The following is a 20,703-nucleotide window of genomic DNA, read 5'->3' on the forward strand; positions in this document are numbered from 1 at the left end:
GTTCATGTGATGAGATTAGACTTGCCCAGGTCATCTCTCTATTTTAAATCAACTATGCGAGATAACAGTATGATCACAGCAATAGCATCTCTTCATAATCATACGTTCTGGGATTAGGGTATGGAACCTTGGCTGCTATTTTTAGAATTCTGCCTCCCACATTATGCTTGCCAGAAACAGCAATATAACCAATAGATACACCTTTCATTAGTCAGAGTTCTCCACAGAAACAGAATCAATGGGATACATTTCTATAGAGAAAGAGATTTATTATACGGAGCGGCTCCCATGATTATGGAGGCTGACAAGTCCCAAGATCCGCAAGGTACGTTGACAAGCTGGAGGCCCAGGAGAGCTGATGATGTAGTTTCAGTGTGAAGCCCAGCAGTCTCAAGAACCAGGAAGAGCCAATGTTTCAGTTTGAGCCCAAAGACAGAAAAAAATTGAGGTCCTAGTTTGAAAGAAGTCATGCAGTAGGAATTTCCTGTTACTCATGAAAGGATCAGCCATTTTGTTCTATACAGGCTTTCAACTGACTGCATGAGCCCACCCACATTAGGGAGGGCAATCTGCTTTATTGTCTACTGATAAAAATGTTAATCTCATCCGAAAACACCCTCACAGGAGCACTCAGAATGATGGAGTTCTTTTGGTTGTTGTTTGCTTGTTTGTTTGCTTGTTGAGTTGGGATCTCACTCTGTCACTCTGGCTGGAGTGCAGTGGTGAGATCTTGACTTACTGCAACCTCTGCCTCCCTGGCCCAGGTAATCCTCCCACCTCAGTTTCCTGGGTAGCTGAGACCACAGGTGCATGCCACCACACCCAGCTAATTTTTTGGATTTTTGGTGGAGACAGGGTTTTACCATGTTGCCCAGGCGGGTCTTGAACTCCTAAGCTCAAGAAATCCACCCACCTTGTCCTCCCAAAGTGCTGGGATTACTGGGGTGAGCCCCTGCTCCCAGCCTCAGAATAATGATCGACGAAATATCTGGGCACATAAAATTAACCATCACACCTTCCAAATCTCATGCAAGTACCCTACGTTAGATTGGCCGAACCTAAGTCCTATCCAGAACTCCAGGTACAAGGGAGTCAGGCAATGCAGAAAGGCACATGGCAACAGTTTCTCTCAAATATTTTGACCCCATGCCACTATAGGAAATGCATATTTTATCACACCCAGTATAAGCACACATATATGAGTACATGAAATAAAATTTTTATAAGACATTACTTACCTTTACTAAGTGCAATGTGTTCTGATATTTTCTTTGTGGTTCTATTTCATTTTTTAAAAATTTCAACCTATTGAAATATAATCGATAAAGAGGCATTCTATTAATATATATTTAAGGTACACAAACTGATGTTTTTATATAGGTACGCTTTGGGAAATTGTTTCTATTTTATTTTAAATCACTCTGATCTTGACCCGCTAAATGGTTTCATGACCTTCCAATAAACGAGGTATCATTAGGAAGGCAGACTGATTTTGAGGGTCAATCTACTGTACCCATTACAAATGACCTTAGGGAAGCCATTTTTCTTCAGTTACATGTCTCACAATGCCTGGAAGATATAACAAATTTCTTAAGTTGAATTGACTGCAGACAGTGGGCTTTCAATTCAAACTGAACACAGACTGAGAAAAGTCTGAATCTTTTTACAGGATAGGTCCCTGAGTATTCAATAAAATAAAAGATGGATATCAAGGAATGCCCTTTTGCCCACTCCCCACCTCAGGAAGGCTAGATTTGAAAGTCCACTGGAATACATGGGACCCATTTTTCAGGGGGAATAAATGGCTACCAAGGCAGTGTTCATGCACAAAGTAAACATGAACAAAGTGAACATGATTAAATATCATAAATTGTTGCTGAAGCATGTAAAAATTGTCAGCTTCTGAGCCACTTATAATAACTACTAAATGACTGGCTTTGATTACCATGTCAATGCTTAAGGCACAATTTAGAGAATGTTGTTACTAAGACAACCCTCCCTTTCAACAAGTGCCCAGGTTTCATATTTCTGTTCCACACCCCCAAGATGGTGAGCTGTGTCTCTCCAGGAGGAAAGGCTCTAGTGAAGAATTCATCAATTTTCTACTCAATCTCTCTTACAAAACTACTCTCTGGGAAAATGACTTATTGTTTAAGTGTTTACTTTTTGTTATTTGAGCAAGCAGTAGGCATATTCGTGAATCCATTTTCATTTAACTGCGCTCATGCTCCAAGCAGCTTACATGGATCAGCCCAGAGAGGTTAACCTCAATCAATTCTCTATCTCTGTTGCCACGTCACTGCAGAGTTTCACATGGTCAGATTTCATTGTCTGACTGTGAAAAAATTAAGAACTTGGCTTTCCTAAACAAGAATCAATTCTCTATCTCTGTTGCCACGTCACTGCAGAGTTTCACATGGTCAGATTTCATTGTTTGACTGTGAAAAAATTAAGAATTTGGCTTTCCTAAACAAGAAACGTATTATAGAGTCTTCCTCATTCGGTTACATAAGAGTGTGAATGAAGAACAAATAGGGGCATTGTCTGATACAGAAAGTAAAGTTTTAGGGCTAGGTAGCTTGTGGTTGTTTTAACAAAATCTACAAATTGTTTAAAAATGAGAGTCTTGAAATCAGTGAAATTATGATGGCTTGGGGAACTTTTACCAATAGCATTATCAAATATCTGGATATACACTCTATATAGGAGCAATAAATCTCAATCATTTGTTTAAGAAAGATTTGATGAGCACCTCCTATGTGGTGTTTATTGTTCTACTGTAAATGCAGAAGTGATCAAAATAGACCAAGTTTTGCTCATTATATAGCTGGAAGAGGCAGAGGATAACTGGGAAACAAATAATGAAAGGACAAGGTAAAGGGCACGTGGGACACAGCCAGCTCAGAGTTGCCTAAAGCAAACACACACTATGCCTCTATCCCACAGTTCCAAGAACGATGACACATTTCTCTAATTGCTATGTATCATAACTGCCAGAGTGTTTCCCTTTCTCCCAATTGCATGTATTTTTTAGGAAAAGGTATAATTTATGGGATTAATACTGGGGATTCGGAAAATCAGTGGATGCCTGAGGATCAGTTTTGAAAATTGAGCAATGCCATAGTAGTTCTGGAGGTTGACAGGCAGAATATCTGATCACATACTTTAAAAAACACACAAACAGCTTCATTGAGGTATAACTGACATACAATAAACTGCTTGCTATGGTTTGAATGTGTCCCCCAAAGCTCATGTATGGGAAACTTAATCTCCACTGCAACAGTGTTGGGAGCTGGGGCCTAATAAGAGGTGATTGGTCATGAGTGATCTGCCCTCATGAATGGATTAATGTTGTTAACCCAGGAGCAGGTTTGTTACCTGGGGAGTAAGCTTTTTATAAAAGTGAGTTTGGCCCCCTCTTGCTCTCCTGTATGCTCTTTGCCCTTCTGCCTTTCTCAGTGGGATGATGCAGCACAAAAACGCTCACTGGATGCCTTTGGACTTCTTTGGCATCTTTGAATGCTTTTGGACTTCCCAGCCTCCAGAACCATGAGCCAAATAACTTTCTGTTTATTATCAGTTACCCAGTCTGTGGCATTCTGTTATAGCAGCATAAAATGGACTAAGACACTGTACATATTTAAAGTACACAATTTGATAAGTTCTGATATATGCATATACCCATGTCAACATCACCATATCAACGTAACGGACATATCTTTCACCTCTAAAAATGTCCTTTGTTATCCCTCCATCCTATACCTCCCAATGCCCAGCCCTAGGCAATCACTGGTCTGTTTCCTGTCACTATAGGTTATCTCACATTTTCTAGAATATCATTCTCTCTTTTGGGGAATCTGGCTTCTTTCACTCAGAATAATTATTTTGAATTTTAGCCACCTTGTTTTATGTATCAATAATTCATCACTGTTTTGCTTATTAACATATGAATGCACATTGGGATTGTTCCCACATTTTGCCTAGTATAAATTAAGCTTCTGTAGACATTCCTGTAAAATTCTTCTTATGGACAAATGCTTTGATCTTTTTTTTTTTTTGGAGATGGAGTCCTTGCTCTGTCACCAGGCTAGAGTACAGTGGTATGATTTTGGCTCACTGCAACCTCTGCCTCCAGGGTTCAAGCAATTCTCCTGCCTCACCTTCCCAAGTAGCTGAGACTACAGGTGCACACTGCCATGCCTGGCTAATTTTTGTGTTGTAGTAGAGACAGCTTTTACCATGTTGCCCAGGCTGGTCTCAAACTCCTGAAGTCAGACAATCCGCCTGCCTCGGCCTCCCAAAGTGCTAGGATTATAGGCATGAGCCACCGCGCCCGGCCTGCTTTGATCTTTTTAGTGACAATACCTGGGAGTAGATTGGGTCACATACGGGGTGCATGCTTAAATTTTTTTAAAAAAATACCTAACTGTTTTCCATAATAGTTGCATTTTCACAATCCCATTAACAGTGCATGAGAGTTCCAGTTACCACATCATTTAGTAGGTCAGTCTTTTAAACATTCTAAAAGATGTGTATTGTTATGTCATTGTAGTTTTTATTTGCATTTCCCCTAAGGCCTTATAATGTTCAGCAGCTTTTTATGCACTTATTTGCCGTTCATATATCTTCTTTGGTAATGTGTTTGTTCAAATCTTTTGCCATTTTTAATTGGATTATCTTCACAAAATTGAGTTTTGAGAGTTATGTTCTGGATACAAGCCCCTTGTCATATAGGTCATTTGCAAATATTTTCTCCCAGCCTGTGTGTTATCATTTAATACTTTAAAAAGTCTTCCAAAAAGTAAAAGTTCTTAGTTTGAGAATGTCCAATTTTTTTGTAATGAATCATGCTTTTGGTGTTGTAACTAGGAAATCTGCCTAATCCAGGGTCACAAAAAAATTTTTAAATATATTTGAAAGATGTTTCTCCATTGCATTCTTGATTGTATCAGTTCTGTTGAGAAATCTGCTTTTATTTGTGTATTTTTCTCCAGGTTCTTTTAAGATTCCCTTTTTATTTTTAAATTTAAGCAACATGATTATGAAGTGACTTAGCATAGTTTTCCTCATGTTTTCCTGTGTTTGCAGTTCACTGGGCTTATTAAATCTATACATTTAAAATTTTCATCAACTTTAAAAATTCTTGTCCATTATTTATTTATTTTTTCTGCCTGTCTCACCCCTTGGGGATCCAATTACACTTGAAGCATTCTTTTCTCTATGTGTTTTGTTTTAGATGGTTTCCATTGCTATGTCTTCAAGTTCTCTAATCTTTTATTCTGAAATGTCTAATCTCTCATTGATCCTACCTAGTAATCTTAGACTAGATTTTTAATTTTAGTCATTATAGTTTTCATCTCTAGAAGTTTATTTTGGATTTCTTAACTTGCATGTCTTTACTTAACATGCTCAATCTGCACTCTAACTTCTTGAACATGTGGAATATGGTTAAAATAACCATTTTAATGTTCTCTACTAATTCTATTATCTGCATAATTCCTGGGTCAGTTTTGACTGTCTGATTTTCCCCCTTATTATGTGTTGTATTTTCCTGTTTGTTTGCATGCCTGGTAATTTCTGATTGGATGCCAAACATTGTGAGTTTTACTTTAGACGGTGCTGGATATTTTTGTATTCTCATAAATATTCTTGAACTTTGTTTAGGGATTCAGTTAAATTCCTTGGAAATAGTTTTAACCTCTCAGGCTTGTTTTTAAGCCTTTTTAGGCAAGACCAGAGCAGTAGTTAGTGAAGGGATAATTTTTCTTCACTGCTGTGGCAAAACTCTCCTTAGCATTCTACCAAATGGCATGTGAATTATGAGGTCTTCCACACCAGCTATTGAGAACAGGGATTATTCCTGGCCCCGTGTGATCCTGGGTATTGTTTCCTCTAATCCTTTTGGGTGTTTCTTCCCTTGGTCTCAGCTAGTTTCCTAATACACATTAGATATTAAATATAGCAGCCTCCATGGACTACTGACTCCATCCCCACAATTTAGGGAAACTCCTCAACTCGGCCTCATTTCCTCCTCTCTGTACCGTGGCCTGAAAACTTTGTTCAGTCAGTAAGTTAGGGCAATTTTATGGATCTCTTCATTTATTTCCCATCTCGCAAAGATCATTGTCCTTCATTGACTGACATCTTGTCTTGAGAACAATTGTTTCATGTACTTTGTCTACTTTCTTAGTTATTTCCAGCAGGAATATAAATCCAGTCCCTACTGCTGTATTTTGAGAGGAAATGTTAACTCTAAATTACATTTTAATGTTGAGTCTTACTTCTCTGGTTTTGTTTTCTGATTTTTTTTCTTCTTAGATGGTAGATTTTATGTGGACATATGGGAAATGACAATTGCTAGACATGAGGAGAAATTACAGGGAATGAGCAGACATATGGGAAATATGGTTTAAAAAGAACAAAGAGAAAGAATTGGGAATGAAATGAGAACAAATGGCCAGATCTGGGGAAAGGAGTTGATGGAGAGTGTCAAAGTCATCTGAAATCCCACCTCTCACCTCTGCTAGGCCAAACGTGTGACTGCAGAAGGATTCAAGCTCATCACTTCAACTTGGTAACTTTAATCTGTCAGTGAGCTGGTCCTCCCAGCAACCTATCAAAGACAAGGTGCATAAATTTGTCATCTCTATTTTTCAGAAGGAGAAACACCAAAATTGTTAGACAACAATCTCAAAATTGCCCAGAGAATAGGGCCTGGTTGAGAACTAGAAATCTTAAGTATATCTTGTTACTACTTTTCCCAAATGGTTATCTAAGCATCACTCATTGTGAGAGGAAGTCACTTCACTTCTCTAAGTTCTCAGTTTCCTTATCTGGAAACTGGAATAAGAACTCCCACATGAGAGGTCAACATGAGGGTTTACTGAGATGGTGCGTGAAAACCTGTGCGCCGTGCCTGACACTGAATATTACATGTACAGTTCTGTGTATTTTCTCTTCTAGAGGGAGATACTGGAAGAATGTCTTAAATACAGAGATGAATCAGCCACCATGGGCTGTCAAATAAGAGCTGGACAGAGGACCAGCCTACAGGCCCACTCCCTACTCTCACCAGGCTATCCCAGCCCTGGGCTATCTCCTAATTAAAGAATCAAAGTCAGAAGACCTGGACTCACCCTCTAGGTATCTGACCTGGGGACAATTATTTAGCCCCTCAAGGAAGTAAAGGCATGAAGGAGACACTTGTGACAGGAGAGAAAAGTAATTCAGGCAGACAGAGCCAAAAATTCCTGAGGGCAGAAAAGGACCTGGTGTATTGATAGCAAGGAAGTCAGTGTGGCTGGAATGGAGAAGAAGGAGAGAGAGGAAGAGGAGGGAGGAGGAGGAGGGGGAAAAGAAGAGGGGGAAGAGGAAGAGGTATGGGTAGGTATGGAGAGGGTGGGAGGAAAAAAAGAAGGTGAAGAGGAGCCAGAGAAGGGTGCAAACACTGACAACAAGGTATAAGCCATTGCAAAGCTTGGCTATGCAAGATCCTCCCCTGCACATTCCCTGCCTGTCTTCAGCCTGTTTTCTCCACCAAACAATGCTCATTCCATTCTTAGCATCTAATGGAAGCAAGAAGATGGAAATAACCTAAAACTCCAACAATAGAGTTTAAAGAAATTAACATCTAAGATTCATACCTCTGAAGAACATTTATGACTCAGGAAAATGCTTACACTATATCACTAAATGAAAAAAGTGGGAGTGAGTCAAAGCTGTGTAGCTAATTTTGTTTAAATGCATGCATATACACATCCTTTCTTTTTCCCAGAGAATTATACCACAGTGTAATAAAAGTGCTTACCTCTAAGTGGCTGAATTATAAGCATTTTTAATTTTTTAATTATTTTTCAACTTTTTTTTTTTACAACAAACCTATTACTGTTATAATCAGAAAATAATAACACTCATAAATGAATTAAATAATTTAGTCCAGGATATCATCATCTTCAATAACATATTTCAATTCACAAATTTATTAGGTACTCTCAGGGTATTAAGAGGGTTTAAAATAGCCCAGTGTTAATGCTGCCCAGGTCTATATTGCAATATGAATTCATAAGATATTATAGTTATTTGAAAATTATATAAATGGCTTTATATCATAGGCTATTTACTTTGGAGAAGAATTAAATGAGCAGATTTATCTTAGACCCCATTTGCTGGAATTAACTTGAAAAGTATTGTCTTAAGTAGGTCTGTCTCCAAGATCACATTATATTAAAAGACCAAGAACTAGTAGAAAATCAAGACCCACAATGATAAATGTCACTGTAAAATCTTATTACTATTTTTTAACCAAATATCTTCCTCCAAAATATTATAGTGTTTGATATTATAGGTGAACCTCTTTAATCATTTCAGTGTATAGATTTTAGAACATACTGAAATGATAAAATGAAAACATATTTTATTTTGTATAACCTTTGGCCTCTAACTTCCACAACGCTTAAAAAATAGACTATTACCAGCACCATGGAATCTTTCCCTTGTGATCACTCTCAATTACTGCCTCCATCTCCCTCCCCCAACTTAACCAATACCCTGACTTCTAACACTATAGATTAGATTTGCCTGTGTTTGAAGTTAATAAAACTGGAATGAAACAGTATGTGTTCCTTTATGTCTTGCTTCTTTCACTCAACATTACTGGGGTTGTATCCATGCTGTTTGATACAATAGTAACTTAGCAATTTTCATTTCTGTATCCTATTCTTTTGTATGAGTATTCCACAATTTAGTTATCCATACCACTGTGTGTAGGTATTTGTGTTGTTTCTAGGCTGCAGCTGTTATAATAAAGGCTGCCAGAAGGATTCCTGTTTCACTGGATTTAGATAGAAGCATACTCATTACAGCTGCCTTATTTAGGTTAGCTGCCTTGGTCTTGAACCCTGGCTGCACGTTACGATCACCCTGCTGCCTGGGAACTAGTTCTGCAAGTAATTCTGATCTGGGCTGGAGTTAAGAACCAATGTGCTAGATATTGAGACCCCACCCCCAGACAAAAAAGGAGAGTAATCCAGTTTAGGGGATTCTCAATGAATTGCTTTCTGGAAAGAGGACAATTAAATGCAATGTAAAAATTGATTTTGTTTGCATTGACTTTATCCTTCATATTTTTACTTCAATTTCCTAAACCAAAAGATTATAGGTACTGGTTTTATGATACTTGTAAGTGGCCTCCAGAGTATTTTGAAAATTCCCCAAATTCTCGAAGGAAGGTTACTTTATATGTGGCTTAAAGATGCATGTGTCATAATTTAGCATACCTTGGGTGGAGGATTAGGCTATCAAAAATTCAAACAGACATGACTTTGGTGTCCCAGCTCCACAAACAGTGAGACTTCAAAAAGGCAAGAGTTAATTTTCCTTGGTCCAGATCATAGCCTGGAATTAAATGAGCTCTACTTAATAACTACTGTTGCAACTGAAAATTTGGTTGGTGCTATTTAATTCCCTGAATTCTTGAAACTGTTTTTTGGACTCATGCCCAGGAGCTGTCTTGATAAATGTGTCTCAGAGAATGAAAAACAAAAATGGACAGCATGGCTCTAGAAAGTACAGTAACAAATAGTATGGAAATATCACAAGATCTAAAATTTGCTTTCTCTTCAAGTTCAATCTCCAATCATTGATAGATAGGCAAGAACAGAGGCCATAAACCCAATTATTTTGTCTTATGTGTAGAATACGTTAGAAATTTAATATTATTTATATGTAGCCAGGTAGTAGAATGCCTTCAACTTCTAGTGTGATGAGGCCTGTTTTAGGTCCTGTCTGACCCAGAATAACTCCTCCAGTAGCCTCCTCTCCCACCTGACTTGACATGACTTTAACCACTGACCAAGAAACATTATTTGAGCTTTGACTATGTGATAGATTTCCTGAAAGCTTCTGTAGGGCCAATAAAGACTCCACCTTGGGGTCTTCAAGGAAATTGGAATCTTTTGGGGGTAATCTTACACTCATGCAAAGAAAACTAAGATTGCAAAGCAACCATGATGTGTCAGAAGCCCAGTGAGCTGGTGGTCAGTAAAACCTTCTCATAAGCAGTAGACATGAGCTGAATCTTAAAGGATGGTCAGACTTCTAATAGGTAGGCAGGAAGGGGAAGGGCATTTCAGACAAGAGCAAATGTGAAGAAAAAAAGACGGGAAAATGTTCAGTAAACAGTGAGGAAACCAATTTCATTGGAGTGGGAGATTCTTCTAAAGCATGGCAATTAAAAGTTTGTGCACTTGTGGTCAGGAGTTCGAGACCAGACTGGGCCACGTAGCAAGACCCCATCTCTACAAGAAAAAAAAAAAGATTTGTGATTGCAACTAAAGACAGAGCAAAAGATGGTGTACATAACCCACTAGTTTCATATTCCAGTGTGAAAAGATCTTGATGACAGCGAGGAATTAGAGACAATCTTCTGACCAATTGAGATGGTAACAACTAAGCAATTGGATAGAAACAAAACAAAATTCTAACCAAAATTCTCTAAATATATTAAATAATACCAAAAATAGCAGCAATTGAAATCTACAACCAACTTAAGACCACCCTTATGATGTCCTGCCCCTCCCAGCTGCTCAAGCACAAAGCCTGAAAGTCATTCTTCATCCCTCCCCCATCAATCCCTCCTACGATCTGTCCATCACCAAATACTTTCAGCTCTGCCTCTGTTTCTTTCCACCACCATCACCCTAAGCCAAGTCACCTGATCTCTCACCACACTCCAACTGATCTTGCTGCTTTCTTTCTTAACCTCTGTGCCCCCTCATCCTTCCCACTTCAGCCCCAATACCTGATTTACACAGCAGCTAGAATGCCATCTAACAATCCTGAATCTAATGAGATTATTCTAAAACATTCCTAAGGTCCCCACTGTACCCTTTATAATAACATATAGGATCTGTAACCTGACAAGGCCCTCTAGTTCCTAAGGAGGTACCCATTCTAATGCCATCTTGCCTCATGCTTCCCTTATTTCAGTGATTGTGTCCACACTCTTCTCCTGGTTCCTTAAACTAGATCCATTCTTACCAACCTTCTTACAGTGCACTTTGTACCCACTCTGCCTGGCTAGCTCCTAGCATACCAATGGCCAAAGTTGAAGTGCCTCTTCCCCACAGGCACTTGCTTTGACAATCCCCCAATCTAAAATTTTGTCCTGCATGTAATTCTCTCCATGGATCCTTGTCTTTTATTTCATGGCACTTAACACAATTTATAATTATACATGTAACTTTTGTGTTTGTTTAAAGCTTTAAGTGTCATGCAAATATAGACCAGGTATGTATGGTTCATCACTGTATACCGAAGCCTAACAGTACCTGACACCGAAGGTGTGCAATAAATATAACTTCAATGCATGAAATGAGGAAATTCTCACTAGCTCTTTGTGTGCCGAACCACAATATGGATTCCAGTTCTCAATAATCTCTAGCACTAAATTTAGTAACTCATTTGATCAGTTACTTATAAGTAGTCTTTTTTTATATGTTTAATAAAGAGAAGGGTTAAAAAAAAAGAGAAGGTTGCTTTTCCCAAAGACAGAATAAAAATATTGCATTTTTAGATAGTTTATACCACATATGAATGACATTTTGACCTACAAAAGCCCTCACCTTTGAGACACAGTAACACATAAAGGCAGAGAGAAATAAGTTTGGAAAGTAAATCATAATACAGTCATACTTTGGAAATATTGCAAGTTTGGTTCCAGACCACTGCAATAAAGAGAATATCGCAATAAAGTGAGTCACATAAATTTTTTGTGTTCCAGTGAATATAAAAGTTATATTTACATTACATTGTAGCGTATTAAGTGTGCAATACCATTGTATCTAAAAATGTGCATACCTCAATTTAAAATACTTTGTTGCTAAAAAATATTAACAATCATCTCAGCCTTGAGCAAGTCCTAATCTTTTTGCTGGTAGAGGGTCTTGCCTCCATGTCAATGGCTGCTGACTGATCAGCATTATGGTTGCTGAAGGTTGGGGTGGCTATGGTAATTTCTTAAAATAGGACAGCAATGAAGTTTGCTGCATCAATTGACCCTTTCACAAAAGACTTTTGTGTAGCATGAGATGCTGTTTGATAGCAATAGAACGTCTTTCAAAACTGGAGTCAATTCTCTCAAACCCTGCTGCTGCTTTTATCAACTAAGTTTACGTAATGTTCTAAATCCTTTGTTGTCATTTCAACAATGTTGACAGCATTATCGCCAGGGGTAAGTTCTAACTAAAGAAACTACTTTCTTTGCTTATCGAACTCCTCATCCATTGATCATGAGATTGTGGCAACTCGGTCAATCTTTAGCCTCCAGTTCTAATTCTAATTCTCTCACTACTTTCGCCATATTTGCAGTTAATTCCTCCACTGGAACCCTGCCAAGTCATCCATGAGGGTTGAAATCAACTTCCAAATTTCTGTTAAAGTTGATACTTTGACCCATGAATCACAGATGTTCTAGTTGGCATCTAGAGTAGTGAATCCTTTCCAGAAGGTTTTTATTCACTTTGCCCAAATCCATCAGAGGGATCACTGTAGCAACTATAGGCTTACAAAATGTATTTCTTAAACAATAAGACTTGAAAGTTGAAATTACTTATTTATCTATGGGCTGCAGAATAAATGTTATGTTAGCAGGCAGGAAAATAACATTAATCCCCTTGTACATCTCCAGTAGGGTTCTTAAGGGGCCAGGTACATTGTCAATGAGCAGTAATATTTTGAAAGGAATCTTTTTTTCAGAGCAGTAGGTCTCAAAAGTGGGCTTAAAATATTCAATAAATCATGCTGCAAACAGATGTGCTGTCATCTAAGCTTTGCCGTTCCATTTATAGAACACAGGGAAAGTAGACTTAGCATAATTCTGAAGGACCCTAGGATTTTTATAATGGTAAATGAGCATTGGCTTCTACTTAAAATTACCAGCTGCATTAGCCTATAACAAGAGTCAGCTTGTCCTTTGGAGCTGGCATTAACTTTTCCTCTGTAGTGATGAAAGTCTTGGATGGCATCTTCTTCCCATACAATGCTGTTTTGTCTACACTGAAAAGCTATTGTTTAGTGAAGCCACCTGCATCAATTATCATAGATAGATCTTTTGGGTAACTTGCTGTAGCTTCTACATCAGGACTTTACCTTGCACTTTTATGTTATGAAGATGACTTCTTTCCTCAACCTCATGAACCAACCTCTGCTAGCTTCAAACTTTTCTTCTGCAGCTTTCTCACTTCTCTCAGCCTTCATAGAATTGAAGAGAGTTAGGCCCTTACTCTGGATTAGCCTTTAGCTTAATTAAATGCTGTGGCTGATTTAGTCTTCCAGCTATACCAATCAAACTTTTTCTATATCAGCAATAATGCTGTTTAACTTTATTATTCATGTGTTCATTTGAGTAGCACTTTTAATATTTTTAAAAATGTTTCCTTTGCATTCACAACTTGGCCAGCTGTGGTTCAAGAGTCCTAGCTTTCAGCTTATCTTGGTTTTTGTTGTGCCTTCCTCACTCAGCTTAATCATTTCTAGCTTTTGATTTAAAGAGAGAAACATGCAAACTCTCCCTTTCACTTGAATACTTAGAGGCCATTTTGACTTCATTTCAATATTGTTGTGTCTCAGGGAATAGGGAGGCCCAAGGAGATGGGGAGAGATGGAACAACTGGTCAGTAGAGCAGTCAGAACACACACAACAGTTACTGATTAACTTTGCTGTCCTATATGGGCATGGTTCATGGAGCCCCAAAACAATTACAACAGTGACATCCGATATCACTGATCAGAGATCACCAAAACAGATATAATAATAATGAAAGAATTAGAAATATTGTGAGAATTACCAAAATGTGACACAGTGAACACATGCTGTTGGGAAAAAATGTTGCCAATGGACTTGGCTCAATGCAGGGTTCCAGAAACCTTCAATTTGTAAAGTCACACAAAATCTGCAAAGTGCAATAAAGCAAAGTGCAATAAAATAAGGTATGCCTGTAATATAGTGTTTATTGAGTGTCATGTGCCAGGCTTTCTGCTACATCTTTTATTGGCATTATCTGTGATCTTGCAACCATTCTGAATATAGGTATTATTGTCCCCATGTTACAAATGGGAAAAATAAAACACTGGAGTATTTGCCCATGATTACAGAGCTAATAAAGGGAACCAGAAGTTTGCAGGAAGGATTGGTGGAGCAAGATATTTAAAGGATCTACAATTTGCCCAATGTAATCTCTGTGAAATTATCAACACATTATAGAATTTCTTCCTCTCTCGATATTTTCCATTTTTGCTGAAATGACATTTACCTATATTCATCTTATTTTTCATAAGAACCATAAATGCATTTTTGAATAATGAAGATCATTTAAGCTGGGCACAGTGGCTCACACCTGTAATCCCAGCACTTTCAGGGGATTGCCTGAGGCCAGGAGTGTGAGACCACACAGGGCAACATAGCGAGACACCATTTATACAAAAATGAAAGTAAAATTAACCAGGTCTGGTGGTGGTAGTCCCAGCTACTTGGGAGGCTGAAGTTGGAGGATAAATTGAGCCCAAGAGTTCAAGGATGCAGTGAGCTATGATCATTCCACTGCACTCCAGCCTGGGTGACAGAGCAAGACCCCGTTTCTTTAAAAAACAAAACAAAACAAAAAGATAATTTAGAATTAAATGTTTTCTGATCCTAAAGTTTTGGTTGAAGAGACTTTAGGATTAAAAAACACCACAAAACTAAATTAAGTTTATAAATAGTATGTGTCTGACCCAACAATAAATAAATACTAGCCTTTGACTCAATACTTGAGAAATGTGTGTGGCTCCCTGACATGTGTCACTGAGTCTGAGTCTGTAGGCTGGGTGAGCAAATATTTAAGCATGAGTAAGAGCAATGATGGCCCCTTTGGCAGTCCTCAATGCACTAGCATGCACTAAAACCAAAACACACAAGGAGATTCAGCACTGTTAAGAAGAGAAATCCAAGTTGACTTGGCATGAAGCAGGAGGCTGATTGAGAGCTTTGAAACCTCTTTAAACTTGGACATTTCAAGAATCCTGGAAGAGCACTATTGTGAAAAAAACTAGGAGACCTGCCAGGTAAGCCCAACTTGGGGTATACAATCAAATTCTTTTCTTTATGAGCCTCAAACTAAAGTTATAAACACCAACTATTTTAAAGAGGAATGCCACATTCCTGGTAGAGGGAAAGATTTTCCCATAAAAAAATAAGAAAAGAGAACTACTATACCCAGGAGCTTTATGTATTTTATTTATTCCATATAATAACTTCCTGGAGTTGGAATTATTTCTCACTTACAAATGAGGAAACTATGGCCCAGAGAGTTGACTTAATTTATCCACAATCACACAACTTGTGATGGGGCTGGGATTTGAACCGTAACTTTTTGACTTCAGATACCTCTTTCTCTGGTAGTCAGCTGTTTACTGTGGTTAAAGGAAGATTTGTAAATTTATCATTTAATCGAGAAAACTACAGTGTCACAGGATCCTGAGGGTGAAAGACATGTGATTTCAGCACCATGTCTTATTTATCCTTATAGCCCTTACAGTGCCCTATATATCATAGATATGCAATGTGTTTGTAGAATGATGAATGGATGACTGTGTGGATGAATGGATGGATGCATGGACGGATGGTTGGATGGATGGATGCATGAGTGGGTGGGTGGATGGATGGATAAATTCCATTATCCCTGGGCTGTTCAAATTCACTGTCTTTTCCATACTGAGGGCCTATTTTCCAGAAGACAGCAGGTAGTATATAATATTGTGATATTGTACTTCCTTCCTCTAGGCAAACTCAGGCAGGAAAAGGAGTTTTTAACAATTTGTCACTAATTTTTTTAGCCACTTTTCTGGGAAGTTAAATGCATATTTAGGTTATTGCTGTTGTTTTATTCACATGAGGATAAGGAGCATCTCACCACCTTCATTTAACGAGGTAAACATGCCTCATTTGCAGCTGCTTCAGTTCAATGAACGCAGGGGGTACTGTACCTCTTTATATAAATTGTTCCATCTCCCTTCAGGTCTCACCCTTTTTGCAAAGTCCCATATCTTGCATTATTCCTGGGAAGCTAGTTCCATTTTCCCTTTAACTCAGTCTCACAGATTTAATTTTTGCCAAAGCCAACCCCAAGCTGCTGCCCAACCAATTCTCAAGGTATCTAAAGCGGACTTCTTATAAGTGTCACCACTGAGGCCAAAGGACTCTCCAGTGGGATTCAGCCAGTATTTTTTTTCCTAGACATTGGCATTACTCAGAGCAGGTAGGAGCATTAGGGAAAAGGAACAGGAACTGGGGATGTCATCTTCATGTTGGCCTCTGCTCCCTTGTGGTAAGCAGGGCGGGTGTTCTTGGGAACAGGGCTGGTATCTTTGCCAGCGGTCTCTGTCTGACCTCCACATCTTTCTTCTTTCTCCCAGAAGACTTCGTTTCCTCATTGGGTATTTGTGTCTTGTCTCTGTTAACTTTAGAGAGAGATGAGGAGAGTCTTGGCTAACAGAGTCTTATTTTACATTCTTTTCTAGGAATGAGTGTTTGGTTTCTGCTCTGGAGGTGCTTGAGAAGGGCAATAGATCTTATCTCCAAGTCTTATTTTCTAAAGAGGTTCCAAGCCATCGATACGCATGATGTGAGTAGCAATCTTTCTCAGATACTAAGTGGAAACTGATATTCACAAGCAATGTTCTAAGTTTGCCAAATGGCAAAACCTGTGGGACAAGGGGCATGAGAACTAACCACACCTCTCTTAACAGCTTCAGCATCCCAGCAGCCATTTCCTGCTGACCGCTGAGCAGGAAGAGCACATGACCCTGGCTGGAGCCGCCAAGAGGGTGGAGATGATCAGAAATCCTTTCACTGTCAAATTCAGAGAAGAAACATGCTGAGAAGAGGCACTTCCTATGCCAGGCCTACCTGTGCCGTGAGGAATACATGTAGGAGACACTATTTGAAAAGGTAAATCATTTATCAAATTCTAGGGGGAAAGTATTAGAGTACAGTGGCTTGTGGAAAACTGAGAGGGAAATTCACCTCAGAAAATGGGAGGTTTATTTAACGCAGAAAATAACAATAGTATTATTTTTAGAGTGTGTGTGTGTGTGTCTATACCTTCATTAATACTAAGTACTCTTCAGAACACCAAATATGATCTTCCCAACCTCAAATTCAGAAGGGAGCCATCTCCCAGTTTATTCCAAACAGCCCCTATTATCAGATATATATTTTTTCTAGGTCGCCACCTTGCTGGAACAACCAATGCAGAGATAATGCTGGGCCCTCTAATCAGTTGAACAGTGGCTTCAAAAAGATAGGTCAAAGTTATAATCTCCTGCAGCTGTGCATGTGACTTTCTTTGGAAATAGGATCTTGCAGGTATGATGAAGGTAAGGATTTTAAGATGAGATCATCATAAATTTAGAGTGGGTCCTACACCTGATGACTCGTGTGCTTCTAAGGGAAGCAAAAGGGAGTTATAACACAGGGACACCTGGAAGGCCATGTGAAGGCAAAGGCTAACATTGGATTTATGTTGCCACAAGCCAAGGAATGACAGGGGTGCTGGCAACTGCAAGAACTGAGAAGACAGGCATGGAACGAATTCTTCCTCAGAACCTCCAGAAGGAACTCACCCTGCTGACACTTTGATTTCAGACTCTGGCCTCCAGAACTGTGAAAGAACAAGTGTCTCTTGTTTTAAGCCACCCAGTTTGTGGTAATTTGTCACAACAATCCAAGGAAACTAATAGAAACCCCACACATTGGGTATGAGCATAGAAGTAAATTGGAAATGACTTACATTGCCTTGACATACTGGAAGAACCTGTTTTTCCAGATCTACGTGACAATTGAAACAATAATTTCTTTCTTTCTTTTTTAAGAGACAGGGCCTCTTCGCTCTGTCGCCCAGGCTGGAGTGCTGTGGTGCTATCACAGCTCACTGCAGCCTTGAACTTCCAAGCTCAGGTGATCTTCCCACTTCACTCTCCCAAGTAGCTGGTCCTGCAGGCACACCACCATATCTGGCTAATTTTTCAATTTTCTGTAGAGACAAGGGTCTCCCTACATCGCCCAAACTGGTCTCAAACTTCTGGCCTCAAGCAATCCTCACTCTGCAGCCTCCCAAAGTGCTGGGATTACAGGGATGAGCCATCACAACTGGCCTCAGAAGGAATAATTTCTATATTAGACAGAGGACACATGTTTAAATTCTAGCAATCTTGCCTGAAATCTCTGCAAAATTAAAGTGAGGGGCAAGAGGGAAGGCCTAAACTCATACCCTTGGTGAATTCAGGATGCACCAGGGTTTTATTTGCAGGAAGGCCCTGAGAAGCCTCATGTGGACAGTGGTTAGATCCTGTGGAAGTCTCCAGGGCTAAGGCTCTAAGTGAGTAGAGACCAGGGACTGCTCCTTCATCTCCACGACAATATACAGATGGAGAAGTGACTGGCACCAGGGAAGAAGGAGGGAGTAAAGGGAACCAGGTTTAGACTGAAAATGGGGACAGTATTAAGGTGCAGCCCAATTTTGCATCTTTCACCCTATTTTATGGCCCTCCTTCTTGCATTGGGTAATTAGAGAGGGTGTGATGATGGACTGAAACACAAGTCAAATGATTGATTCAGCCGCCAGTGGAGAAGAGGCTGTGAATGCAAGGTTCTGTTGCAGACTGATGAACAGGTAGAAGGGTTGTTGCCCTACTTGGGCAGGATGGCTGTTGGAGCAGAGCAAGATGTAGCCACAATTCTGGGTAGGAGCAGCCATTTGTGACCTTGGCTCAGCAGTAAAGCAGCATCCACATCTAGGAGGGGTACAAAAATATTGACTAGAAGAAAACAAGGGTAATTGCAGCATCTTAAGCCTCATTAGAAAAACCCCATGGACCATTTAACCATGTAGAATGATTTGAGGGCCTCCTTTGTATCTGTCATTTGTTGGCCAGATTTTGTTCATTCTGCCATCTCAATATCTTTTAAATCTATCTTTTCCAATCTTGCACTTCAGTTTGTCTTTCTCTTGCATACTCCTTACTCATCTCCTTGCTTTTTGTCCCATTCCTCCTAGGCCTATCTTCCCCAGGCCTGCCAAAGGGATCCTGCAAAAAAGCAAATCTGATCATATCCCAGCTCTCAGACCTCTCCACTCGATGTCCATCAGCTCCAGGAGGTGCCTTCCAAGGCCTGAAGGTTGACAGATCCCCCAGGATCCCCAGGGCCAGCCTACTCTGCAGCCTCACCTCCCATGCTCCCCTTATGCCAATTCTCAGCAGGTTTCTCCCCTGCTTCATCCCCTAAATGTTACCCTCCAGTGATATTATTGATCACCTTCTGAGCATGCGATGCCTGCCTGTGACTTTCCACACAGTTTCCCTGAGTCAGGAAATGTTCTTTTTGCTTGACAACCTGGCAAAGTCTGGTTAGCTTTCCAATTCAGCTAGGACCAGAGCCTTCTCTTACCTTTACATCTACCCACCACACCCCTGAATTAATTTAATCTCTCCTCCCTCTCTACTACCTCTTTAAGTTAAACTTAATCCTCTGCTGGTACCTGTTACACAAGTGTGAGAATTGAGAATTCTTACTGTTTAAAGGTCCACTTCCCTACTAGAGTGGAGTTTTGTTTTTTGTTTTTTTCTTTTTCTTTTTTTTTTTTTTTTTGAGATGGAGTCTTGCTCTGTTACCAGGCCATAGTGCAGTGGGGCGATTTCAGCTCACTGTAACCTCCGCCTCCTGAGTTCAAGTGATTCTCCTGCCTCATCCTCCTGAGTAGCTGGGACTACAGGCACCCGCCACCATGCTCAGCTAATTTTTGTATTTTTAGTAGAGATGGGGTTTTACTATGTTGGCCAGGATGGTCTCAATCTCTTGACCTTGTGATCCACCCTCCTCAGCCTCCCAAAGTGCTGGGATTACAGGCATGAGCCACCACACCCCACCTAGAGTTGAGTTTTTTAAGAGCAGAACTGCACAGTGTGTACACAATGAATGACTGCTAAATAAAATATGTTAAAGAATCAGCTAACTAAAGCTTTGATCCTAATTATAAATTCCTGTTTATCAAGGAATTTTTACATTTTCAAGGGACTGCAGGCTCCATCTAGTCCTATCTCTTAGCCAATTGTATCAAAATATCAGGATCTGGGGCCTGGGCATCAGTGTTTTTTTAAAGCTCTCTAGCTAGAGAAAAGGACTTCAAAACTATTAGCAGCCAGAGTTGAAAAGCTCTGATCATGTCTACTCACCTGTGAGTGGGCAGTGACTTCCTATACCCATGCTTAGAAGATAGACATCTTATTCTTCTTAGTTTTTAGAATTTCTGGGGATGCAATTCCTGAATCTCCCTTGCCTTATAAAGTAATTTTCTGCTTTAAAATAAATAAATTGTAGCTCTAATTCATTTTTTCAAACAAAAGATTGTTTTTATAATTCTTACATGGCTTTGAAGTCCTTTTCTGGGCATCTGATCTTTTGTCTCCTATTTGGCATGACGTTCCTTTAATTTGCTATGTCTTTGAGAAATAGTTCTAGCATTACTGTTTCCTAAGAAATTTGGGGTCATAACAGAATGAGCTGACCCATGGATAGTTTATTTTTAGCCTAGAGATTTTCATCCAAGCCTGATAGCAAGTAGTAATACTCAATTTCTTTTTTCCTGCTCCAACACTTTTCTATGGTCT

At 39.4% G+C, this 20,703-nt stretch overlaps 1 long non-coding RNA gene across 2 annotated transcripts; it reads left to right on the forward strand.

Moving 5' to 3' along the window:
- The first annotated feature begins 14,900 nt into the window (after positions 1-14,900).
- Positions 14,901-20,048, forward strand: LOC105375440 (uncharacterized). Of its 2 annotated transcripts, XR_927844.3 has the most exons (5): positions 14,901-15,099; positions 16,555-16,658; positions 16,783-16,984; positions 17,261-17,412; positions 19,092-20,048. It is a non-coding gene; the product is annotated as an uncharacterized LOC105375440 (long non-coding RNA). The 2 variants fall into 2 exon arrangements; XR_007060468.1 differs by having other exon boundaries at positions 17,261-20,048.
- The last annotated feature ends 655 nt before the right edge of the window (positions 20,049-20,703 follow it).

Source organism: Homo sapiens, chromosome 7 (genome assembly GCF_000001405.40).
Source record: "Homo sapiens chromosome 7, GRCh38.p14 Primary Assembly".
NCBI lineage: Eukaryota > Metazoa > Chordata > Mammalia > Primates > Hominidae > Homo > Homo sapiens.